The 26,536-nt window shown below is 39.4% G+C and overlaps 1 protein-coding gene across 3 annotated transcripts in view, besides 1 other annotated feature; it reads right to left on the bottom strand.

The window, feature by feature from the left end:
* The window catches only part of HDGFL3 (HDGF like 3), a 95,086-nt gene that overhangs the window by 27,308 nt on the left and 41,242 nt on the right, over nucleotides 1-26,536 (bottom strand). For all 3 annotated transcript variants that reach the window (XR_001751298.3, XM_006720554.5, NM_016073.4), the window contains exons 2-5: nucleotides 23,954-24,030; nucleotides 17,858-17,996; nucleotides 17,370-17,528; nucleotides 11,170-11,316 (exon numbers count right to left, since the gene is read on the bottom strand). Coding sequence is in view for 2 of the 3 variants with exons in the window: in XM_006720554.5 (XP_006720617.1) it covers nucleotides 11,170-11,316; nucleotides 17,370-17,528; nucleotides 17,858-17,996; nucleotides 23,954-24,030 (522 nt within the window). In the remaining variant the exon portion in view is untranslated. The remainder of the gene's footprint in view (nucleotides 1-11,169; nucleotides 11,317-17,369; nucleotides 17,529-17,857; nucleotides 17,997-23,953; nucleotides 24,031-26,536) is intronic.
* Nucleotides 17,985-19,184: an enhancer, noted in NCBI's record as "CDK7 strongly-dependent group 2 enhancer chr15:83826782-83827981 (GRCh37/hg19 assembly coordinates)". NCBI's record gives its function as "activates an origin of replication core promoter dependent on BRD2, BRD4, P300/CBP, MED14 and CDK7 cofactors, with strong dependence on CDK7, by STARR-seq in HCT116 cells {active_cell/tissue: HCT116}" and the evidence as "EXISTENCE:reporter gene assay evidence [ECO:0000049][PMID:35650434]".

Consider the following 26,536-nt stretch of genomic DNA (forward strand, 5'->3'; position numbering starts at 1 on the left):
AATATTTTTTCTGAAAACAGCCTGCTTCCACTCTTAATTTCACTAAATGAATGAACATGTTTGTAAGCACATGTGCACACTGATGGGTATGTTCTCATTCAGACAGCCCAACATGTATACTAAATGGTATATATTATAATAAACGATTCCAGGACCTTCAAAGGAGAGAGAGTTACCAAAACTTCCATCCCCCTAAGATGGCAGAAATATACTTTTTATCCTTCTGTCCCTATTAAAATGAGGAAGTAAATCTTTAAAAAAAAAGTTTGAAATTTGTGAACTTAAAAAATGGAGTGCCTGGTGACTCCTAATTATTTCTTAACAAAAACACCAGTTATAAGATTATACTCACAGATACTTTGGAGGATCTTCCTCCCTTGTGAAGGAGGAAGACACCCATTAGAACAATGAAAAATTGTTAGTCAACCAAAGAAAGTTTTTTTTTTTTTTTTTTGAGACAGAGTCTCGCTCTGTCACCTAGGCTGGAGTACAGTGGCGTGATGTGAGCTCACTGCAACCTCCACCTCCCCGGTTCAAGTGATTCTCCTGCCTCAGCCTCCTGAGTAGCTGGGATTACAGGTGTGTGCTACCATGCCCGGCTAATTTTTGTATTTTTAGTAGAGATGGGATTTCACCACGTTGGTCAGGCTGGTCTCAAACTCCTGACCTTGTGATCTGCCTGGCTCGGCGGCCTCCCAAAGTGCTGGGATTACAGGCGTGAGCCACCGTGCCTGGCCGAAACCTTCTTTAACAATGTTTTCTTATTATTACTGTGAAAGGCAATAAATTCTATGTTTATCTTGGTAGAATAATCACAGTAAAAACTACTCAATCCACATCAAAGAATATTTTTGGAACAGGTGGTCCCATGGCAGCCTCAGAGTAGTATTAATACCCCAAACAAAGTGAAGGGAGCACCAAGAATGTGACTATAGTTTTAAGGACATGCTTTTTGTGGTCTTTAAACAAGGTGCTGTCAAATGGGTGCTTTGTAAAAGCAAATTACAAAATCTGAGATTAAAAAATTCTCATACCATAATCACTTTGCATCTATGTATTGAAAACTGCATCTTGCTAATTCATCATGGTATATATTCTGGACATGGTACTCTGACTGTCTCCTAGATCTGAAGTCTCCTCTGAGTAAGTAGCCACAAGTGGTTCCTTATGCACTGGTTGCCATGCACCCCTATATTAGATAATGGCTGAAGAATCCAATCGGATTCTCTCTGGAGGTATCTAAATGTGAGGCACACTGAGAGGCTATAGGGTGGTAGCAAAACTGAAGGATACCCAGAACACTGTAAGCAGAAGCTATGAAACAACAGAAGCCGTAAGGATCTTTTCAAGGAGTACCATTTTGATATGAAGGAATGATAATATTCAATATGGCTATGCAGACTGGGCAATTTGGCACGTTATAACAAATAAGTAACTTATTACTTGCAGAAAAACAACTGTTTTTTGCCAATGATAAAATTTGAGTGTTCAGTGAAAACTAGAATTTCAAATCCTCCATGACTGACAGTTTTCCAATATTTAAAGACTTTTTTTTTAGAGACAGGGTCTTGCTCTTGTGCCCATGCTAAGTGTAGCGGTGTGATCACAGCTCACTGCAGCCTTGAACTCCTGGCCTCAAGCTATCCTCCTGCCTCAGCCTATCAAAGTGCTGGGGTTACAGGTGTGAGCCACCAAACTTGGCCCCAATACTTAAAGACTTTTCTGATGAGATAGGTAGTGATATTAAAAATGTGATTAAAAACATTTTGTACTGAAATGAGTGAATATTTGGAAGACCCAAGTAATTCAGAAAACCTATATTTTCTAACTGGGGGAAAGCTATTCAGAGCGCTAGACAAACAGGCATATGAAGAAAAGCTCAGTATCGCTGATCATTAGAGAAATGCAAATCAAAACTGCAGTGACATACCATTTCACACAACTCAATGGCTATTACTAAAAAGTCAAAAAATAACAGATGCTGGCAAGGTTGCAGAGAAAAGGGAACGCTTATATGCTGTTGGTGGGAGTGTAAATTAGTTCAACCATTGTGGAAATCAGTAGGGCAATTCCTCAAAGAGCTAAAAATAGAACTACCATTCAACCCAGCAATCCCATTACTGCTTATATACCCAAAGTAATATAAATCATTCTACCATAAAGACACATGCATGAGAATGTTCACTGCAGCACTCGCTATATACAATAGTAAAGAAATGGAATCAACCTAAATGCCCATCAATGACAGATTGGATAAAGAAAATGTGGTACATATATACCATGGAATACTATGCAGCCATTAAAAAGAGTGAGAGCATGTCTTTTGTGGGAACATGCATAGAGCTAGAGGCCATTATCCTTAACAAACTAACACAGGAACAGAAAACCAGATACCGCGTGTTCTTGCTTATAAGTGGAAGCTAAATAATGAGAACTCATGGACACAAAGAGGGGAACAATGGACACTAGGGCCTACTGGAGGGTAAAGGAGAGGAGGAAGAGGATCAGAAAAAGTAACTATTGGATACTAGGCTTAGAACCCAGGGTAACAACAAACACCTGTGACATGAGTTAACCTTTAATAATAAATCTGCACATGTACTCCCTGAAGTTTAAAAAAAAAGCAAGACGATTAAGATACTCATATCACCATTTTTCAATTAAATATCTGTATAATACCAGATTTTCTTCATATACCTTCAACCACAATTACATATTACAATAAAGAGAATGCAGAAATAGATATGAGGATCTAGTTGTCTTCTATCAAATCAGACATTAAAAAGATTTGCAAAAATGTAAAAATGTCTTTCTGCAAACTTTTCTGTGAAATGTTATTTTCATAAAAATGCTATTTAAGTAATGGATTTATTATATTAAATGAATTAAGTATTTTTAAAATTTGTTTTTATTTCTAATTAAATAAATATCATTAACGATCACATATATAAACAAAGCTCTTTGGGGCCCTTAATAACTTTTTTTTTTGAGACGGAGTCTTGCTCTGTCACCCAGGCTGGAGTACAGTGGCACAATCTCAGCTCACTGCAATCTCCGCCTCCCAGGTTTAATCAATTCTGCCTCAGCTTCCTGAGTAGCTGGGATTACGGGCACATGCCACCACGCCCAGCTAATTTTGTATTTTTTGTAGAGATGGGGTTTCACCATGTTGGCCAGGCTGGTGTTGAACTCCTGACCTCAGGTGACCCACCCACCTTGGCCTCCCAAAGTGTTGAGATTACAGGCCCCTTAAAGGGGGCCAGGTGCAGTGACTCACGCCTGTAATCGAAGCACTTTGGGAGGTTGAGGCGGGCGAATCACTTGAGGTCTGGAGTTCGAGACCAGCCTGGCCAACGTGGTGAAATCCTAACTACGAAAAACACAAAATTGGCCAGGCGTGGTGGCACGTGCCTGCAATCCCAGCTACTCAGGAGGCTGAGGCAGGAGGATCGCTTGAACCCAGGAGGCGGAGGTTGCAGTGAGCTAAGATCGTGCCACTGCACTCCAGCCTGGGCGACAGAGCGAAACTCCATCTCAAACAAACAAACTTTTAATGGTATTAAGGAGGTCCTGAGACCAAGAATAAATGAGAGTAAACGGTGAGAGGTAAGACTGCAAAGATAAACTGGGGTCAGCTGTGAAAGGCATTGTATGACGGAATAAGGAACGCAGACTTAATCTTGTGGGGCACTGGGGAGATATAAGGCAGCAGCCACTATACTGTAGAAAGAACGGGTTCAGGGTCAGAAGAATAAAGGCATGGCCACATGGTAAATCGTTACAGTAAACATTGTAGCTATCATTCCAATGTTTATCCTCTGTCCCTCCCTCCAGTTGTGTGGTAGCCTTGTGTTTTTTTTGTTTGTTTGTTTTTAATGATATAAGACTTTATTGTCATTTGAGGGTCTGTTTTCCAAATAATCTCTAGTAAATATATTGGAATAATTACAAATTTTAAGTCCCAACTTACCGATACGGCACGATTCTCAGACCTTCCCCTCCACTGACTGCCAGGCAATCGTCAGCACCAGACAAGGCTGCCCACCACTAGTATCTTTCACTGCAGCCCTCCTGGACTCAAGCAATTCTCCCGCCTCAGCCCCCCAGGTAGTTGGGACTACAGGCGGATGCCATAGCTGTGTGGTAACCTTGTGATTTAGCGACCTGAATCCAGCTCCAGGGGTGTGGAGAACCTGAATGGTGTGAGCCAGTTCTAATCCTCTTGTATCAGTAGTTGGTTTAGGGATAGGTAGCCTTCTGATATAGTCTCCAATGATTCCTGCCTCCGGTATCTCTACATCACATTCTTGTGTAATCACCGCCCCTTTAGTGTGGGCTGGACCTAGTGACTTGCTTGTAATAAACAGAATGAAGCAAAAGTGATGGGATGTCACTTCTGAGATTAGGTTACAAAAGACTGACTTCTGTTTGCCAGCACTCTCTCTTACTGACACTTTACTGCTTACTCTGATGAAGCCAGCTGCCATGCTGTGAGCTGCCTCATGGTGAGATCCATGGGGCAAGGCATCAGAGGAGGCCTCTGGGAAACAACTCATGAGGAACTGAGGCCTCCAGTCCAACAACCGTGAGGAGCTGAATCCTGCCAGGAACAATTTGAGTGATCTTAGAAGAGGATCCATCCCCAGTTGAGCCTTAAGATGATCTGAGTTCCTGCTGACACCTGGACTGCATTTTGGTATCTCAGTTCCTTTTGCAAGAGACCCAGAGCCAGAGGATTTAGCAAGTTGCACCTGAATGGACTGTTGATGAGTCTTGAAAAGATGAGATAATAAATGCTGCTTTAAGTCACTAGTTTTCAGTTACATGGCAATAGATAACTAATACAGTAGGTGTAAGCCAATCAGTGCATGGTGTCCTCCTGGCCACAGATGAGTAACTTTCACCTTCTATCCATATGAATCGAAGGAACTCCAAGCATTCTAGATAAGGGCGCCTGCTCCTTTCTGTCTCCTTCTGCTAGTGGCAGAAGGGAGGAAGTACTCAGAGAGCCTCTGGGAGCAAAAAGGGACCCTCGTAAAAATCTCTTCTTTCTTTCCCTTAACAATATGCATAACATCAACCCATCATCTGCTTTGAGACCATCAGGCTTTTTATCATTATGCCCTTTATCCTAGCTTACTCTGGATACTATAAGATGGGCTCCAGAGCACCCATCACTTCCTGAACTCATATCCCCAGTCAGCTTTGCACAGGTCCTTTTACGGCCTCATTTCTTAACAGAACCCCCAACCCCATTCTTTAATCTCTTCTACTGGGCCCCCTGAAAACCACGGTTAGCCATTAGCAAAACTCCTATATTCTCAATTTGAATTTCCAAGAAATTCCACTCAACAACTTGTTCTAACTAAAACCTGTTTTCTTCTAAGGGCAGTGCTGCCTCTTTCCCTGTAACCCTCTCAAATGGTAGCTCTGTTCTCTCCCACAGCTCTTGTACTACTACTTGCCCTGGAGGTGGAGAAGGTGTCCTTCTTGCTCCTCCCTACTATTTATAAGCTATTCATTCTCTCCCCTGTGCCCTACCTTCCCTGAAAATAAAAGCCTCCCAGTTTTGAATCTCAGTGTAAGCTACTCCCCTCCTTCCTGCAATCATCTACAGACTCCCTGGATTATTCTCCTTACTCTTTAAAGATTTCACTTCTGGCCCTCTGTCATTCATCATAATTCCTGTGATTTCAATATCCACATAGATTATCTTTCTAACATTCTGGTATCTCAGTTCCTTGGTGTCCTCTCTGCCAAAGATCTTGTCTTCTAAGACCCTACCTCAGTCACTCGCTCCCATGGTTTGTTCTTTCTTTTTTTTTTTTCTCTCTCTCTCCCTTTCTTCTTCCTTTTTTTTTTTTTTTTTTTTTTTTTTTTTTTGAGATGGAGTCTCACTCTGTCGCCCAGGTTGGAATGCAGTGGCTCGATCTTGGCTCACTGCAACCTCTGCCTCCCGGGTTCAAGCGATTTTCATGCCTCAGCCTCCCGAGTACCTGTGACTACAAGTGTGCACCACCATGCCCAGCTAATTTTTGCATTTTTAGTAGAGACAGGTTTCACCATATTGGCCAGGCTGCTCTCAAACTCCTGACCTCAGGTGATCGGCCCACCTCAGCCTCCCAAAGTCCATGGTTCTTTCTTAAAACAAGTGATTCACAACCACTGGGAGTAACTGTAAATACTGTCTTAAGCCACTGTTTTGAAAGCAAAATTATGTAGGCATTTTAGGTTATTATTAAGAACTCTGGGGTTCTACTGGCATTTAACACACAGGGCCATGGGTACTAAATGTCTTGTGATGTAGACAGTGCTCGTACAATGAAGAATTAAGTGTCCCACTGGAAATACTAGTAGCACCTGCACTGTCATCGGCAACTACTGCAACCTTTCCATGATTCTATTCAAATACCTCACTCTTCTATCACCATTTATATTTCCAGGTCATACTCAAACTCTGTTGACTCTCTCCCTTTCTCATTTACATCTTTCCTCTTAAGATATGTTGGATTCCATGGTCCATTGTTATAATCCTTGTACACATCCTTGATTCCCTGGCCTCTAATCTTCTTTACCCTACTCTCTGCGAAAACCTTAATTCTAGTTAAATTCAATTATCTGTCCTCTCTGTGACTGAATAATTGAATATGCCTGGAGAAAAACACACAACCATTGTGACCCCTCTCACTTTAAATTCAAGACCACTGGTCTCAAGCAAGCCTTTAGTATTACCTGGCAATTCAACTTCATTTCCCAAGTTCATTCATTCTCTTATTCTTCTAAATGACTATTTTGTACCTTTTTCTCTCTCTTGAATCTTCCAACATTTTTTCCTATTCTCAGTCTCAAATGCTAACCTTGTTCCTTAAGAAAATAGAAGCAATCAGGTAAGAATTTCTACAAGCTCTCACCCCAAGTATCTACTTACCTGTATCCGTGCCCAAATACTCTGCCTTTCCTTCCAATTTAATGGATGAACCAAGGTAGCCCCTCCAGATGTGCACCAGATCTTATACCTTCTTTCTTTTTTTTTTTTGAGACAGAATCTCGCTCTGTCACCAGGCTGGAGTGCAGTGATGTAATCTCAGCTCACTGCAACCTCCACCTCCCGGGTTCAAGTGACTTTAGTGCCTCAGCCTCCCGAGTAGTTGGGACTACAGGCACGCACCACAACACTCAGCCAATTTTTGTATTTTTAGTATGGTGTATTTTCACCATGTTGGCCAGGATGGTCTCGATCTCTTGATCTCGTGATCCATCTGCCTCGGCCTCCCAAAGTGCTGGGACTACAGGTGTGAGCCACCGCACCTGGCCCTACCTTCTTGCTTTCTAAAGGACACTGCTTCAGCAATTCTTTCTTACATTATCATTTTGTGATCATTTCTGACTTGGATCATTCTTACTAGCATATGTAAATTCTCCCATCAAGAAAAAAAAAGACCTTCCTTGAACTTCTATCCCAGACCATGACTATTAAATATTTGAAAACTAAAACTATTCAATTAGCCCTACATGATATCAGGACTCATTATAAAGCTACTATAATTAAGAGAGTGTGGTATTGACCAACAGAACAGAATAGAGAACCCAGAGAGAGACCTATGAATATACGACAGATGCACTGCGGATCAGAGAAAAAAGGAAGGACTATGCAATAAATGGTGCTGGTTCAAATGGTTATGCTTAAACAAGACAGAAAAATGCTAGCCATAAAAGGAAAGTCTGATAAAGCTGACTACAATACAATAAAATTTAAAAAGTCTGATTGCTAAAAATATCAGAAAGAAATTGAATAGACAAGCCATAAACTTGGAGAGGATATCTGCAAGAAATATGATGATCCATGTTAGTTAGAATCTAGAGTATGTAGAGAAGTCCTACAAATCAGTAAGAAATGAAATCCAATAAGAAAATGGGCAAAACCCAAAACACGCGCTGTACAGAAGAGAAAACATGGGTGGTCAATAAACATGAAAGGCAGCTCAACCTTATCATTAATCAGAGAACTATAAATTAACACTATAATGACCATTTTATACTCACTATATTGGCAATAATTAAAAAGCCTGACTATGCCAAGTTAATCACAGGGAACTCTTCCACACCTCTGGTGAGAATGTCCAACTACTACGGAAAATAATTTGGCATTATCTTGTAAAGTTAAAATCCATCAACTCACGGCTCAGTATTTTCAGTTCTAGTTACATATCCTAAATAAACTCTTGTACACGTATACTAGGAGACAGGCATGAGAATGCTCACAGCCACACAGTTCATAATAATTGCAAAAAGCTGGCCGGGCACAGTGGCTCACACCTGTAATCCCAGCACTTTGGGAGGCTGAGGCAGGCAGATCACGAGGTCAGGAGATCGAGACCACCCTGGCTAACACGGTGAAACCCCGTCTCTACTAAAAATACAAAAAAATTAGCCAGGTGTGGTGGTGGGTGCCTGTAGTCCCAGCTACTTGGGAGGCTGAGGCAGGAGAATGGTGTGAACCTGGGATGCAGAGCTTGCAGTGAGCCAAGATCGCACCACTGTACTCCAGCCTGGGCGACAGAGTGAGACTCCGTCTCGAAAAAAAAAAAATAATAATAATAATTGCAAAAAGCTGGAAACAACCCAACTGCCCATCAATAGGAGACTGGATAAATAAGTTGTGGTATACCCATAAAACTGAATATTATACAGTAGTTAAAATAGACTACTGCTACACATAACCACATGAAGGAATCTTGGGAAAACAGTGCTGAGTGAATGTTATAAGTTTTTAAAAAGCTAAAAATAAGTAATACTAAACAATATACTGTTTATACACCTATATGTTAGGCATGGGCAAACATTTCAAAAAGAAAAGGAAATAATACAACATTAGTGCTCATCTCTGGGTAGGAAGAGGGACTGGAAAGAATACGTAAATAGATACAAGTTAATTGTGATGTTCTAGTTTTTAGGTTCGGTGGTAGGGTCACTTTATAGCTTTATAACCTTATATTTATATATATTATTTTGTATATAACAAATATATCATTAAAAATAGGCTCTTGCTTCCCACTTGAGCTCTTACTAGCTGTGTGATCCTAGGCCAATTCTTTCAGTCTCAGTTTCCCCAACTAAAAAGCAAAAGCAATACCTGCACCTACCTCCTGAAGTTTGTATGAGGATTAAATGAGATAATGAATGCAGACCACGCACAATATGTGGCACACAGGATACTAGTGCTAGCTGTAGCAGCTATTATGTTCTAAGGTGCTTTCAAGAAGAAATGGTTTTATTAGTGGTTAGAACAATGAATCTACAATGCATAGGATATATAGAATGAAAACGTAATCAGTAAAGTTGAAATCATATGTATGGATAAGATGAACACAAGATGTTTTCAGAGTAGAAGTGTGCCAAGTCAGACTGAAGGAAGGAGCTCTAGAAAGAGACTAAGAAGGAACAGGGAGAGGAAGCAGAACAGATTGGTAACCTGGAGGAAAAGTCAGGAGGAGAAATGTCTGATAGTATTAAATTTTGCAGAGGTGAAAACGAAGACTAAATGAGACGTTGGATCGGGCAAGGAGAGGATCACTAGGAACCTTTACAAGAGCAATTTCAATGAAGTGGTCAAAGAAGAAATAAGAGTGCAATGGGTTAAGTCATCAGGAGGAGGAGAGGAAATGGAGACTGGGAGAAAAGATCATTCTTTTTACGAAGTTAGAGATGAAGGGAAAAGTGAAAAGGGTAAAATATAAGATGGAAGGGAGGTATCATCAAGATTAAGGGAGACCTTAGGCTGTTTATAGGCAGAGGGGAAGGAGCCAGTGGAAAAGAAGATGTGGTATAGAAGAAGGGGACGAATGACTGGGTGTGCTTTGGAGAAAACAGGAGGAGATAATATTCTGAACCATGACAATAGAAAGATGTAAATTAGTGCTTCTCAGACTTTCATGTGCATATGAATTACTTGGGGTTGAGTTAAAATGCAGATTCCGATTCAGAATCTGGAGTTTCGGGCAGGTCTGAGATTCTCCATTTCTAACAAGCTCCTACCTAATGTTGATGCTACTGGTTCACTGACCACATTCTGAGTATTAAGGGGGTAGGACAACTCTTCCTTTGTCATGAGAAGTGCATCTAGAAATAAGTTTGGTAGTAAAGGGAAGAGAAATTGTTGGAGTTGTTGCTACTTGCATATTGAAGCGACCTGACATAAAGGTAGCAGGTCGAATAGAAAGAAAATCAAGTGAGCCAGGTGTTCAAGTTCTCAGTGACTGTTAGCAGGTATATGTCCCTGGGAAGGCTGCTGGCAAAAGTAATGATAGAGGACTACTTATTAAAGAAAAGTCAAGAGGATGAAGATAAGCAGAGGATAGAGTAGGGCTGAGCTGGGTGAGAGGAATAAGAGAACAATCAGAATCATAATACTTTGGGAGTAATTATAGATAACTGGGATGAAGGAAGAAAAGAGTTGAGAGGTAAACAGGACTGACATGAACAGGCAAGAACTCTGCTGAAACCAGATAAATTTCTTAGGTCATTATTTTTAAATGATTTGACATTGTCTAACTAGTCTTCATAGAGGAAAGACTCATGGAAAATGCATGGGGGCAAAATTTGCCTTCATCAAGTTTTTTACAAAGGTGGACTTACCTGTGCTTTGAAGTTAACAAAGGTTAACAAAAGTTATGAAGAGTCATCATAGACAAATTTGTCCCTAGGGGTACTTTAAATATCAATATTCAAACATTGCTTGCATATTTAAAGTCCTCATGGGTACAATGAATTACACACTGCTTCTGGGAAAGAAGCAGCAGTATGTAATACTCTATTTTGAACATGCCATTGATTTTGTGATAACAGAAATACAACTGTTGAATTTTGGGGTGGCATTTCATAATTTCAGTATTTCACATTGTACTTTAAAAAGACTCTAAAGTTAGTATAAAGAAAAATAAACCTGTTCATAGAGATCCAAATTGACAGGCAGGTATAATTCTCACTTGGCTCTTTTGTTCAGACTCTAAGAATTTGATTATATTAAAGGGCTGAGTGGATGCATATAATAGGCTGAGAATACTTCTCCATTTATCAACACAATGTTTACTAATGCTGACATATGGATGCTGAATCTGAAGCAAAATGTCTTCTAATAGAAGGTAAGAGAAATTATAAGCACATCCTTACCCCTTCACTGGTTTTCTGCAAGTCTGAAGTTGTGTTTCTTGTGTCGTTGCCCGCATCTCCACCCTCAGAGCTGCTTTTGTTTTCCTCTTCTTTGCAGTCTTTGTCATCTTCATCTCCTGGAGATTTCCGGGACTGTTTAGAGGATTTCTAAATGTTTAGACAAGTTAAATATTATAGTCAAAAGCAGAAATCCAAATGTACAAGTAAGAGATGCAGAAATAGCTGACTTGCATCTATCTAGTTTTAGTGGTTGATAGAGGATATACTGACACAACATGTAGTATGCCAAGGCTGAGCTAGGTGACATTGGACAAATCATTTCACCTCATTGGACCTCAGTTTAACTAGCTGGAAAGGAAGCAGAAGTGGGCTAGGTGACCTCTTAGTTATTTCCAGCAATGTGATATTAAAAGCACAAAATGAAGATTAATGTACCTAGAACACTGTCAATGAATAAATACAGCTGGATGGACACCACCTTAAGAAGGCTACAGAAGTGGAAGGTACCCTAAAGGTCATCTTGTCCTCCCCATCATTTTATAGTAGTGGAAATTGAAAGAAGTGAGGTGAACTATCCAAGAGAATATATAGATATTCATGCTGGAACACCTCTTGAAGCTGTTTGGCTAATGGGATACCCAGAATCATCTTGATAAAACTGTTTGATATAAACTAATCTTTTCAATTGTGGAGCATTATTTAAGAACTCAAGGCCATACTGTGAACCAGTCCTTTTTCCTCGTCATCTTGCATTTGAAAACAAGATGAACTCTAGAGGAAGATGAAAATACAATTAGTTTGCCTCAAGAGTTGCTTGGCAGCATTGCATTAAAATTATAGAAAGCTGGCCCCAATTGTGCGCCTTAAGAAAGTAAAATATAGTGTTTTTCTACACTTCCTCTTTGAGACATTTTAAGAGTCTTCAAGCACGTTGCAAGTAAGAGGTAAGGCAAAACTGATTTTGCCAAGTTACTTCTGGTCTTCCAGAAATGAATGAGCAAACTGAAGCTTCTTCAGATAATCAGTTTTTAAAAATGCAACTTTCAAAGAGAAAACATAGGCCAGGCATGGTGGCTCACGCCTGTAATCCCAGCACTTTGGGAGGCTGAGGCGGGTGGATCACCTAAGTAAGGTCAGGAGTTTGAGATCAGCTTGGCCAACATGGCAAAACCCTGTCTCTACTAAAACTACAAAAATTACCTGGGGCTGGGCGCAGTGGCTCACGCCTTTAATCTCAGCACTTTGGGAGGCTGTGGTGGACAGATCACCTAAGGTCAGGGGTTTGAGACCATCCTGGCCAACATGGTGAAACCCTGTCTCTACTAAAAATACAAAATTAGCTGGGTGTGGTGGCGAGAGGCCTGTAATCCCAGCTACTTGGGAGGCTGAGGCAGGAGAATCACTTGAACCTGGGAGGTGGAGGTTGCAGTGACACTCAAGCCTGGGTGACAGAGTTAGACTCTGTCTCGAAAAAAAAAAAAAAAACAAAAAAAGAGAAAACGTCCTCTAGCTGTGTGGCAGAATATATAATTAAACTGTTTCTATTTTACTTAACTGAAACTACCAGCCAAGCCCAAAATGTCAGTTTAAAATGTGATTTTTACTTTTTACATGAAGGGAAACAGGGATTTAATAATACAAATGTGGAGTATTTCAAGTGACGATCAAGAATGACAATAGTAAAAGTGAAACACTTTCTCTTTATAGTATAATTATTAAAATGTAGCAACTGCTTTATATAGTGATTTTCAAATAACAGTCCTCGATACGCAGTTCTTTTTTTTTTTTTTTTTTTTTTAAGACGGAGTCTCGCTCTGTTGCCCAGGCTGGAGTGCCGTGGGGCTATCTCGGCTCACTGCAAGCTCCGCCTCCTGGGTTCACACCATGCCATTCTCCTGCCTTAGCCTCCCGAGTAGCTGGGACTATAGGTACCTGCCACCACGCCCGGCTAACTTTTTTGTATTTTTAGTAGAGATGGGGTTTCACTGTGTTAGCCAGGATGGTCTCGTTAGCCAGGATGGTCTCGATCTCCTGACCTCATGATCTGCCCGCCTCGGCCTCCCAAAGTGCTGGGATTACAGGCGTGAGCCACCATGCCTGGCCCCTGGCAGTTCTCATAATAATGAACAACTCCCTAAAATTTCTAATGCTCATAAAGGATCTTTATGAGTAACCTTATAAATTAGTTTATAAGTATTACAATTTGGCATGTATTTGGGATATACAGAATAGAATTAGGGCATTACTAGTGTTTTATTAATGAGTCACAACATTTGGTATTCTATGAAGAAATCTGGTTGCCAAGCTCTATTTGGTAATCTTGAAAAGCTTTTCAGATTACTGAAACTCCTGTAATTTTGGAGAAGGACTCAGTTTTATCAGTGTGGTCCTAAATTGGTTATGTGTTTGATTTTTGCTATCTTTGTTTTTTTAAACTAAAATTACTGGTGGTTTATCAACATCAGTTTAGTTTGTTGTGAGGCTCTCATTAGTCCTATTGTAAATAGTAAATAATTTGTATGCAAAATATTTTTGACCTATGATTTTCCAGTATCTGCTATGACTCAAATATGAATAATCCATAGCCTTACTGCTAAAGAGAGAAGACATATAATCTCCCTCAAATCTACTATAGCATGACTTTTCATTGTGATTACTGAGCGTTTTCCTTAGAAAACTGAAATTAGGTGAGGTAGAGGAGACAGGTGTGGGGCCTTTTCCTCTACCCAACTGGAATGTAGTAAAAAAAAGTTTGTGAGCCACTAATTTTCCATGCAAAGGAAGACCATTCAACTCTTAAGAAATAGACATAAAAACAGGCCGGGCACAGTGGCTCACACCTGTAATCCCAGCACTCTGGGAGGTTGAGGCGGGCAGACTGTTTGAGCTCAGGAGTTTGAGACCAGCCTGGGCAACATGATAAAATCCGGTCTCTACTGGAAAAAAAAAAAAAGCAAAAATAAAAAAGCAAAAAAGCAGCGTGTGGTGATGTACGCCCGTGGTCCCAGCTACTGGGGAGGCTGAGGTGGGAGGGCAGCTTGAGCCCAGGGGGCAGAGGTTGCAGTGAGCTGAGATTGCACCACTGCACACCAGCCTGGGTGACAGAGCAAGACCCTGTCTCAAGACAAAGAAAAAAAAAAAAAAGGAAAAATCACCATATTTGTTTTTTAAAAAGCATTTGGGAAGCAAAAGAGAACAATGAAGTTATGCTAGGCAAGCGGTTCTCTAAATGTGGTTCCCAGATCAGCAGGATAAGCCTCACCTGGAAATTTGATTCCTAGACCCCACCCTAGACCTTCTGAAATAGAAATTCTGGGGATGGGGTTCAACAATGTTTCTATTTTACTTAACTGAAACTACCAACCAAACCTAAAATGTCATGTTATAATGTGGTGATTTTTACTTTTTACAAGAAGGGAAAACAGGGATTTAATGATACAAATGTGGAGTGTTTCCAGTTAAGATCAAGAATGATAGTAAAAGTGAAAAACTTTTTGTTCTCCTAGTAAATACAGTATAACTATTCAATGTGGCAAGCTTGTCAAACAATGTAAGCTTGTCTTTATAAGTCTTCCATGTAATTCTAAAACATGTAACAGTTTGAGAACCATTATGCTAGGTTATTTCATTGATATTAAAAATAAAAAGCTATTCTTTTTTTTCCCCCCTTTTGAGACAGGGTCTCACTCTGTTTCCCAGGCTGGAGGGCCGTGGCATGATCATGGCTCAGTACTCGCCTGGACTCCTGGGCTCATGCAATCCTTCCACCTCAGCCTCCCAAGTAGCTGGACTACAGGTGTGAGCAATCACTCCTGGCTAATTTTATTATTTGTGGAGATGAGGTCTCACTATGTTGCCCAGGCTGGTCTCAAACTCCTGGGCTCAAGAGATCCACTTGTCTCAGCCACTCAAAGTGTTGGGATTATAGGTATGAGCCATTGTGACCAGCCAAAAGGCTATTAAATGATCATGAAGTTGTAATCTTCAAGGAAAGCAAAGGAAATGATCCCTTAATTTAAAATAGATAAACATTAGTAAGCTAAGTGTGTCTTTACCCTTTCTCTGCTTTAAATTTTAAGTCCACCCAGGTGGAGCCCCATTACTTTTGGTCTTTGTAACAAGCAATAAAATAATGGCATTTAAAAGCCACATATCCACACTATTAAATGCCTAGGCAACATTAGGTAGCTTAGATAATTTAGGGTTGCACAACACATTAGGTGGAAGCTCAGCAGGCAATCACAAATTAAGTAAAATCAATTCAAGTAGGTGTTTAAATGAAGTCCAAAATGCTAAAAGAAATTCAGCTTAAAAAAGTAATTACAATGGAAGATAAAGTCTGACAAGAAAAATTCTAATTACTTTGTCGTCATTTGCAAACTTTATCCCCATCCAAGGCAATCACATGTTTTTCATTAGGTACACAGGAAACAATGCTGCATTCACACAATTCTGCCTGTATGCCAGTTGGGTAAGATTTTATATACTGCCAAAATAAATGCTGATAATCTAATAAACTCTAGGTACTTGTTTTTAGAGTTTCCTAAGTGTATTCAGTCACTAAACACCAGAATTTAAATAGAAGTAATTTATCCAGGTATTCAATCATGTGACAGACCAATTATAGTGAAACCTGTACCAATCTTTGGTCTTCAAGGATCCATTTATCTTGCTTTCAGTTTCTAAAAGGTGAATAATTTTCACAATCTCAGAGTTCTTTCCATTGTATTTCTGAATTACCATATGAAAAAACCTAGACTTTCAATTTGTAAATCTAGGATCATGTCATTCCTCTGTTTAAAATCTTCAAGTATTGTTAGATTTGGAATAAAATCCAAATTTCTCATTATGGCCTACAAGTCTGCATAATTAGGCCTTTGCCAGCCTTTCCCCCTTGGTCATGATTCTCCAGCCACACCTTCTTTCAATACAGGAAAAACATGCTAAACTCTTCCCTGCCTCAGAGCTTTGATGCTACATTCCTTTCCCTCTGCCATATATGGCTTCTCCTCCTACTCTCTTCTTTGAGGTCTCAGCATAAACTACACGTTTTCAGAAAGCCCTGGCCACCCTATCTAAAATAGGGGACCTATTTTAGGTCCCCCTGCTCCCATTCAATTCCTTCACACCCTTTCACAATTTATTATTTACGTGATTACTGTGTGCTACCCCCACTCTCTGTTGTACTATAATTTATGTGAAGGCAGGAATGGAGTTGCTCACCGCTGTATACCTAGTCTGGTGTCTGGAATAGACTAGGTGATCAGGAAATAAAAGAACTGAATAAATAAACAGCCAAAGCACATTCTTTGAAGCAGAATGACAAGTAAAAATATATCTTTTTACAGTCATGTCACATAGTAATGTTTGGTCAGTGACAGACCACATATACGAAGCCTTGACGTGTGGTAGGCTGTACCACCTACATTTGTGTAAGTATACTCTATGTTGTTTGTACAATGACAAAATTGCCTAATGATGCATTTCTTTTTTTTTTGAGATGGAGTCTCGCTCTGTCACCCAGGCTGGAGTGCAGTGGCACGATTTTGGCTCACTGTAAGCTCCGCCTCCTGGGTTCATGCCATTCTCCCACCTCAGCCTCATGAGTAGCTGGGACTACAGGCGCCCGCCACCATGCCCAGCTAATTTTGCTTTTACATTGTTAGTAGAGATGGGGTTTCACCATGTTAGTCATGATGGTCTCGATCTCCTGACCTTGTGATCCGCCTGCCTCAGCCTCCCAAACTGCTGAGATTACAGGTGTGAGCCACCGCGCCCAGCCATGATGCATTTCTTAGAACCCCATAGTTAAGTTACATGTGATGCATTTACACATATAGTACATAGACATAGTCTTGAATTATATTGTGTTTCCTACATTTCTCAATTCTTTAGAGCTCGTCTGGAGGTTACTGTAGGAGGCAAAGCTACTCATATATCCTTAACTAAAGAACAGTCAGTCCTCCTCCAACTAAAAAGGTGGTATTTTCAGGGCCAAATCAGCCCTAAAGAGTCAATAGTCAGATTGCTCTAATATCTAAGGTTACCTGACTTCCCTCTGCTGTATTTTGTCCCTAAAGGCAGAGGCTCCATAGAATTTAGTATATTTCTATGTACCCAATAAACACATGGAAAATAATCTAAAAATGTTTAATGGATATGCATATAACATTAATAACAATGAGAAGTTTCTTAGTAACCTTTGAAGTATATGACTTTTTCCGTTTTGAGCCTGCTTTTTCATTCTTTCTTTTGCCTTTTCCATCTTCTTCTACTCTATCACCTTCTTCCTCACTGCTTGCATCTGCAGTATTTCCACCTTCTCCCTCAGTTTCTGAAGAGCTCTGTTGCTGAATTGCCTAAGAAATAATAAAATATTAGCTGATTACATTTTTGAAAAAATAGCAAAGAACAAACACTGAAAAGAACTACTCTGTTTTCATTTGAAAGGGTTCCGCTTACTCGGAAGATTTTCAAAAACAAAGGGCTGTCAAACTGAATTTTCCAATGGACACTTGATTTGAACCCTTCTGATTAAGAATTACATTTAATCCAAAATGCTACTGGAGTCAAAAAGAATTGTGACTTCAAGGTAACTATTAGTAGAAAGGACATATAAGAAAGATTTGAAAAAGCGTTAAAACCAAAGAAATGAGATATAGCAAGTGACAAGGAAGTAAACCATTACCTGGTAGCCAGTAAACTTTACTCCTGGGTTATTTTCTATTTCCCACAATCCTTCGTTAAATCCTTTCCGTTTGTTTGACTTTCCAAACTTGTCTTTGTACTCCTTATATGGAAAAAGGTCTTTGGGACCTAGAAATGCACTGCAGAGACATATTAGAAATAGAATTGACACACTGACCTTCAAAGGTAAGATATTTTAAATATCAGTATCAGTGAAGATGTCAGAGCATACTATAGCAAACAAATCTAAAGTACATATAAACCCTTCAAGTTAGGCACATATTACGAGGTGTTTCAGACACATACTTCAAGGCAGAAAAAATGGATAGCTGAGCATACAAGCCAGCCACCTGGATTGTGCTACTTTGATTTTACTTTTAAATTATCAATATCTTCATTTAAAAACTGATTTTTAGTTACATAAGTAGAATTAAATATGTCTACTTTGGCCACTTAAATCATCATCTTAAACTAAGATTTATCTATGTTAATCTTACCACAGGTAAGGGTTTTGTGAAATTCACAGTAAAAATATAAATGCTAGAATAAAAAAAAGATTTTAACTCTCTATATAGTAATTCCCCACTTAACTGTGGTTTTGCCTTCTGTGGTTTTAGTTACCCATGGTCAACTGTGGTCCAATGGAAAATGAACAATTCATAGGTTTTAAATATTACACCCCTCTGAACAGGTGATAAAATCTCACACCCACTCCATCCTGCCTGGGACATGAATCATCCCTTTGTCCAGCATATCCATCATATTTGCACTACCTTCCCACTAGTTACTTAATAGCTATCTCTGTTATCAGATGGAAAAATCATAGTATATATAGGTTTCATACTATCCACGGTTTTAGGCATCCACTGGAGGTCTTGGAATGTATCCCCTACAGATAAAGGGGGCACTACTGTACCACGTTAGTATATTTATTCACTATTATTTCTTTCTTTTTTTTTCAGATAGAGTTTTGCTCTTGTTGCCCAGGCTGGAGTGCAATGGTATGATCTCGGTTTACTGCAACCTCCATCTCCCGGGTTCAAGGGATTCTCCTGCCTCAGCCTTCCAAGTAGGGGATTACAGGCATGCTCCATCACATCTGACTAATTTTGTATTTTTAGTAGAGACGGGGTTTCGCCACATTGGTCAGGCTGGTCTCGAACTCCTGACTTCAGGTGATCCACCTGCCTCGGCCTCCCAAAGTGTTGGGATTACAGGCATAAGCCACCGTGCCCAGCCTATTATTTCTATAAATTAAAAAATCATTTTAGTGTTTAATGAGGCACTAAGAAAAAAATTAGAAGTGACAAAGCAGATAGACTTTTATCCAATTTAAACCACATCCTAAATTAATCACAACCAAGAAAAAAAAAGAAGTTAGAACAAATTCTGAGCCTGGCTAATAGATCAGAGTCTTTAGCATTAGGCCACAGTTCTGGCTGACACCCCTAGAGCTTACTTCTCAAACTGAGATTCACACATTCCTTCATTCAACAAACATTGATTGAACATTTGTTAATACAATGTGCCAGGCACTATTCCAGAGGAGCTACAGGGAACAAAGAGACAAACATCTCTGTTTTCTTGGAGCACATGTTCTAGTGGCAGGGGTGGGGGTTTGGACAATAAAAAGATAAAATATATAGTATGTGTGCTAAAAAAAATAAAGCAGAGAAGGATGGGAAGAATAGGAGATGGATTTTATAATTATAGATATACAGATCAAGGAAGGCAAAGGGAATAGCTAAGTAAAGAACAAAGAAAGTGAAGGAATAACTCATGCAGTTACCTGGAGAAGAAAAGAACAAGTTGAAGAAAGAGCAAGTACAAGGTCCCTCAGGTGGGAGAGGAAGAGTGCCTCATAAGTTTGAGAAACAGAAGAGGTCAGTGTGGCTAGAGTGAAATGAGTGAAGGACGACTGGTGTGAGACAGGTTAACAGAGTAGGGGCACAGATTATTTAGGGCCTTGAAGGCCACTATAAAGGCTTTGAGTGAGATGGGAAGCCATTAAAGGTTCTGAGAAGAGAAGTGGCAATTTATGTCTTAATAGGATAACTTTGGCTGCTGTACTGAAAACAGACTGAAGACTTAGTTACTACAGTAGAAGCAGGGAGACTAATTAGAAGGCTTCTGAAGTAATGATGGTGACTTGAACCAGGGTGTAAGCAGTACTGTTGGTAAGAAGTGGTCAGATCCTGAATTCATTCTCAAGAAAGAGCATCAAGATTTGTTGATGGGCTGCATATGGCATATGTGAGAAAGGGTAGAGGAGTTGAGGATATCTCTAAGGTTTTTTTTTTTTTTGAGACGGAGTCTCACTTTGTCGCCAGGCTGGAGTGCACTGGCACGATCTCGGCTCACTGCAACTTCCGACTCCCTGGTTCAAGCGATTCTTCTGCCTCAGCCTCCTGAGGACCTGGGATTATAGGCACATGCCACCATACCCAGTTAATTTTTGTATTTTTGATAGAGACGGGGTTTCACCATGTTGGCCAGGATGGTTTTGATCTCCTGACCTTGTGATCCGCCCACCTCAGCCTCCCAAAGTGCTGGGATTACAGCCATGAGCCACCACACCTGGCCATCTCCAAGGTTTTGGACTGAGAAATAAGAAGGAGTTGGTATTTACCGAAATGGAAATATTTTGGGGGGGGAACAATATTTGGGGGCAAAAAACTCAGTTTTGAATGCTACATTTAAAATCCAGTTTAGACATCCAAGTGGAGATGTCAGGTAGCTGGAGAGAGGACTCTGGAGTAGAGGGGAAATGTGTAAGCTGGAGATGTAAATTTGGAAATTATCAGTAAAGAGAAGATACTGAAAGCTTTCAGACGAGAGGTTAACAGTTTACTATTGATCTCTGTAAATTCCATTTTCTGCCTGGGTCTCAGGGTTGATCCCTCGCATTGTGCAGCTGATCAAAAACTTCAAGTTCATTAAAACTCCTGGGTAAGCTTTCTGACCCCAGAGCGGTTTAAGAAGCACCAAACTTTTAAGAAGCACCAACCTTTTCCTTATTGTTCACCTTTAATTGCTCAGTCAGCATGATTCTACCTCATTGAATCCAGAAATAATTTATTACATTACTGGACATCTTAATAAAAAAAAGTCAAAGTCTTGCTTGATAAACTGAACACAATAAATGGACTTTGTGTATGGCAACTTCACTTTTAGAAGAATTTGTCGTGAATTATTAGACTCTAGCTTTTGACCTTCCCCAGTCTTTGACTCTATGCTTAAGAAATAACTGTGGGCTAAGCTGCCTGGTATTCACATCAGCTACTTGATGCTAATCAGGGCTTGCCTATACTTATTTTTTTGGGCAGGGGAGAAAGGGTCTCTCACTGTAGCTTTGGCTTCCAGGCTCAAGTGATCCTCCCACCTCAGCCTCCTGAGTAGCTAGGACTACAGCCACCATGCCTGGCTAATGTTATTTTTTTGTAGAGACGGGATCTCACTATATTGCCCAGGCTAGTCTCGAACTCCTGAGCTAAAGTGATCCTCCAGCCTTGGCCTCCCAAAGTGCTGGTATTACAGGCATGAACCACTGCACTCAGCTGCCTATACTGTAATAATGCCAGAAGAGTCAGGGCTAATGGTCATTATTTTTTGATGAAAGAGTTAACAATTTTTGCCCTCTTTATTTTTATCTTGTCCCACTTTTGGATGTATGAGATGGACGTCTTCCTGCTACAGGAAGCATTCTTTTATGAATAAATGATACATTTTTACTAGCATTCCGCAGGAATGACTTTAACTGACAACTGGCCATGTTAGCTACTGCCGGCAAGAGGGAGCCTGAATGAACTGTTCTAAAACAAGTTGTAATTTTTTGATAAACAACCCTGTTTTTTTCTGGATTATAGATAATTGTGTAAATCAAATCCCCTCTCAATTGGTTAATTGCTATATGTTTTAAAATTTTTTAAGCATAGAAAAGAAAATACATTTTTTCAAAGCTAAATGCACTGAGGATGATATATTTTTCCATGTTAAGGGTTCCTTGAAAATTGTCTAGACTAAAACTACTGGGTTTATGTTAGAAGCAGAAGAACTTGAGGCTCCAGTCACCTACATCAGAATTAGAACAGATTCAAAGTCATGTTCTGAGGAAAATTCTGGTCGTGCCTAGGGTACTCCTTTAGCTGAACCAAACGTAGCCTTCTTGTTAAGCTCACCTCACTTTTCACATACCTCCCCTGCATCATTTAACTAATTTTAATTTAATTGATAGCTATTTTTTAAACACCTACCATGGGCCAGGCACTGTGTTAAGCACTGTGTAAGTAGAGTAAGAAACACTGACATAATTTCTGCCTTCAGAGAGGGTGAACATTCATACTTGCCAGGGCAAGTATAATCTCAGGTTCAGGGACACCCAATACTTAGTAACTAAGTTCAGTAGAATCAATGTTATGACAGGTTTTTTGAAGTTAATTCTCCCCCAGGTATTTTTAAATCTGCCTCTGGATGATCAAACCAGCAAAAAAATCACATATAGACTACTGTACAACCAGATCATTTGGAGATGGGTTCTAAAAAAATCAAACCAATGGTACAAAAATAAAATGGGGGCGGGAATAAGGAAAATGCAAAAATATGCATCATAAAGCCCTATACATTTATTATAGGTAAAACTTATTTCTAAGCTTTCTAGCAACCTCTCTTAAGGAGGAAAACATGATCAGTTGCATAGTCCATAATGTCTATTACATAAAAATAATACAAAAGTAAATAAAACTTCCTGAGAGAAATTACAATTATTTCTCTCACGAAAAAAAGTCTGTCTTGAGAGGCTTCTCCTAACTCTCTTTCAAGACAAGAATGAGGAAGATGTTGGGTGGCAGAGACAACAAGCTAAGAAAGTTCATGCTAGGCTCTACTAACGTTCAAATGAACATAAGTGATGACCCTGAATTTGAAGACTTAAAAATTTTGTGACAGTTTTTAGCTTTTCTCCACATTTCCAATTTGTTCCATTTGTTTTTTGTTGTAAATAACCATATCCGTTCCTAGTGTGTCAAAGATTGCCAACTATTCCACAGTATTCATGCTCTTCTTTTTTCCTATACTGAATATTCCTTCCAATTTTTAAAGCAGGATACAGAGTTGCCCAGCTAGAGACTGTTTCTCAGCTTCCCTTGTAGCTAGATGTGGCCACATCACCAAGTTCTTGTCACTGGAATGAATGCCAGTGTAAATGATGTACAGTAAGTCCACACTTAATGTCGATAGGTTTTTGGAAACTGTGACAACACTGAACAAAAAGAAGTTAGTTGACAGCCTGCTGTCTGATGTTTCCTTTAAAGTCGCAGTTGCCAGGAACCTATCAACTTAAGTGAAGATCTACTGTATGTAACTTCCTGTCATTTCCTTACAAGGAACTACTTGTTCTTCACCTCTTCTCTTTCCTCCTTCCCACTGCCTGCAAGATGCACATGTGCTGCTGAGCCAGTTTTTTTGTTTTAGCGGTTAATGACAGGACAAGAAACAGAAGCAGCTCCGGTCCCTAGGGCAAAGTAGTCTACCCACCCCAATCTACCTGCCTACCTCTGAATTATTTCAAAAGAAAGAAATAAACTTCTATATTATTTGAGACATTGTATTTTTAGGTTCCTTTATTACATCAGTGTAGTCAGTACACCAACAAATACAGTTAGAAAACCTAAAAAAGGTGGTATATTTCCTTGAGGGCCCAACAAGGTGAAAGAGCCAGAGAGAACATAACTTTGTTCTGTGAAATATGAATGGAAAAAACTTCTCTGGAAGGGAAATATATAAGAGCAATAGAAGAAATTACTGGGAGTGGTACAGAAACCACTCTAGGACTTAAAAGTGTCCTAGAGGAGACTTGTGGGTGATGACCAACATTTAAGCAGAAACACAAATGACATTCAAAAGCAAAGATACGCTTTTAGTCATAAAGACTTCTATCATGAAAACTATTTACATTAACAAAAATACATTATTAACTTTGGCAATTTTATATAACTGATTATAATGATTTTAATAAGACGTAAGATGTCAGAGATCATCCATAACAATGTAGCATAGCAGAGTCAAGCTAGAGCTGTTGAAACTATTTTTGCTAACTTACGTTTCATGGGTGCCAAAAAAGAAGATAGGATACTTGTTTGCTGGAGGCTTCACAGCGCCCTCTGGGAGTTCATCAATCTATGAAAGATACATTTAGTTACTGAGTGAGTGGTTATCATAAATACAATGTGAGCATTGTTCTGATAATTTACTGCTAATTTCAAAATAAAATCAATCAAAACTCAGATAGTTTTTTAGAACTTTACAAAATGATTCTAAAGTTCCTATTTGGCCCACCACATGGAAGTCAACTCTAGGAATGGATTACAACCATTATAATAATTTATAAGCAGGAGCCAAAACTACTCATTTCCTTTGACTCAACAGAATTATTCCGGGGAATCTGTCCTAGTGAAAAATTAGAGTAACCAAAAAAAAAAAAAAAAAAAAAAAAAAAGAATACAAAAAGATGTACTTCTTTTGAGTAACAGTGAATACATATACATCCCTAGAAACATAAATAATGCATAACAGAATTATAAAAACTTAACTTGATGAACTATTATGCAGTCATTAAAAGACATCATCTCTTGCCTGGACTACTACAAGTCTCTCCTCCCATCCATTTAAAGTAGAATTCCCTTTGAAAATGCACATCTGATTATGTCACTTCCTTACTTCAAATCTGTCTATAGCTTCTCATTGCTTACAGCATTCCTAGCTGTACATCTGACTCACTTATGGAGCTTTAAAAAAATAAAGATATTTCAGCCCTTCCTTCCTCAGATCTACCAATTCTTATTTATAGCTGAAGTTGAGAATCTCTAATAGGATAAAGTCAAAATTCCTTAGAATACTATATAATTACACATACATTATTCCTTAGAATGTTTCAAGAAAGGTTTTGACCAGTCTAAACTCCTGTCACTTTTCTCTCCTCATGCCATGATTCGGCAGTGTGAAACTGCATGGAGTTGTTTATAAGCATGCTATTTTATTTCATGTAGCCTTCTCTGATGGTTGAACTTCTCATCTTTCAGACATACAATGTTCAATTACAAAAGTGAGTATTTACAAGAAGAAAATAAACCACAACAAAACTGCCAGAACTTTTCTTCTGAGACGGCATCAGGCAAGTTCCCAGAAATGCTTACATAGAAATGCTTTCTGGTTATACGCCAGCTTCCCCTCTCTACCTCAAACATGACAACTCCCAGCATTCACAGGTGTCTAGCAAGTGGGGAACCCTGAAATTTACGTTTCATTAGCTTCATTGTAAATCCACCTCTGTATGTCACTCTCTCAAAGCAAGATCTATGTACAAGTCTTGGGTACAACTCTGTCACTTATTGGCTGTGTGATCTTGGGCCAGTCACTCAACTGCAGTTTCTTTATCTCTTCACATATAACTACAGACACTCAGCATACAGAGTTGCTGTGAGCAAATGAATGGTAGTTTAGAATCTCTAGCACATACCAGTTGCTTAATAAATGCCAGGTAGTTGTTAACTGTTATTATTAGCTATCAGAGCCCCTAGAGAAAGAGCAGCTCTCCCCATGTGGCTTACAAAACCCTCCACTACCCACCTCTTATCAACTGACTTCTCTGAATTTCCCCCATTGTTCCTGTCTGCCCTGTAAAGCCACATGACATGGCTGTGTGCAGACACATTTTAAAAATCACTTCTTTTACTAAAAATGCAAAAAAGTAGCCAGACATGGTGATGGGCACCTGTAGTCCCAGCTACTCAGGAGGCTGAGGCAGGAGAATGGTGTGAACCTGGGAGGCGGAGCTTACAGTGAGCCGAGATTGTGCCACTGCACTCCAGCCTGGATGACAGAGCAAGAATCCATCTCAAAAAAAAAAAAAAAAAAAAAAAAAAAGAAATAGACTGACCAAGCAGATGGAAGAATTCCAGAGCTTGAAGACCGGTCTTTTGAACTAGTCCAGGCAGACAAAAATAAAGGAAAAAGAATTATAAAAAATGAACAGTCTTTGAGAAATACAGAATTATATAAAATGACCAAAACAAAGAATTACTGACATTTCTAAGAGAGAAGAAGAAAAAGGAAACAACCAGGAAAATATATTTGAGGAAATAATTCAAGAAAATTTCCCAAATCTTAGTAAAGAAATAGACATCCAGATGCAAGAAATCCAGAGAATACTGGTAAAATACTATACAAAATGAACATCACCAAGGCATATAGTCACTAGACTGTCCAACATCAACTCTAAAGAAAAAAATATTGAAGGCAGCTAGAGAAAAAGGGCAGATTATGTAAAAAGGGAATCCCAGCAGGCTAACAGCAGATGTCTCAGCAGAAACCTTACAAGCCAGGAGAGACTGGTGGCCTATTTCCAGCATTCTAAAAAGAAAATAAATTCCAAACAAAAATTTCATATCCTGCCAAACTAAATTTCATGAGCAGAAATAAAGGAGAAATAAAATATTTTCCAGACAAGCAAGTGCTAAAGGAATTCGTTACTACTAGACCAGCCTTAGAAGAGATCCTTAAGGAAGTTCTAAATACGGAAACAAAAGAATAATACCTGTTATCAAAAAAACACACTTGGGTACAGAGCCTGCAGACCCTATAAAGTAACCACACAATAGAAAGTACAAAACAACTGTATTAGTCT

This window comes from Homo sapiens, chromosome 15, assembly GCF_000001405.40.
Source record: "Homo sapiens chromosome 15, GRCh38.p14 Primary Assembly".
Taxonomy (NCBI): Eukaryota; Metazoa; Chordata; class Mammalia; order Primates; family Hominidae; genus Homo; species Homo sapiens.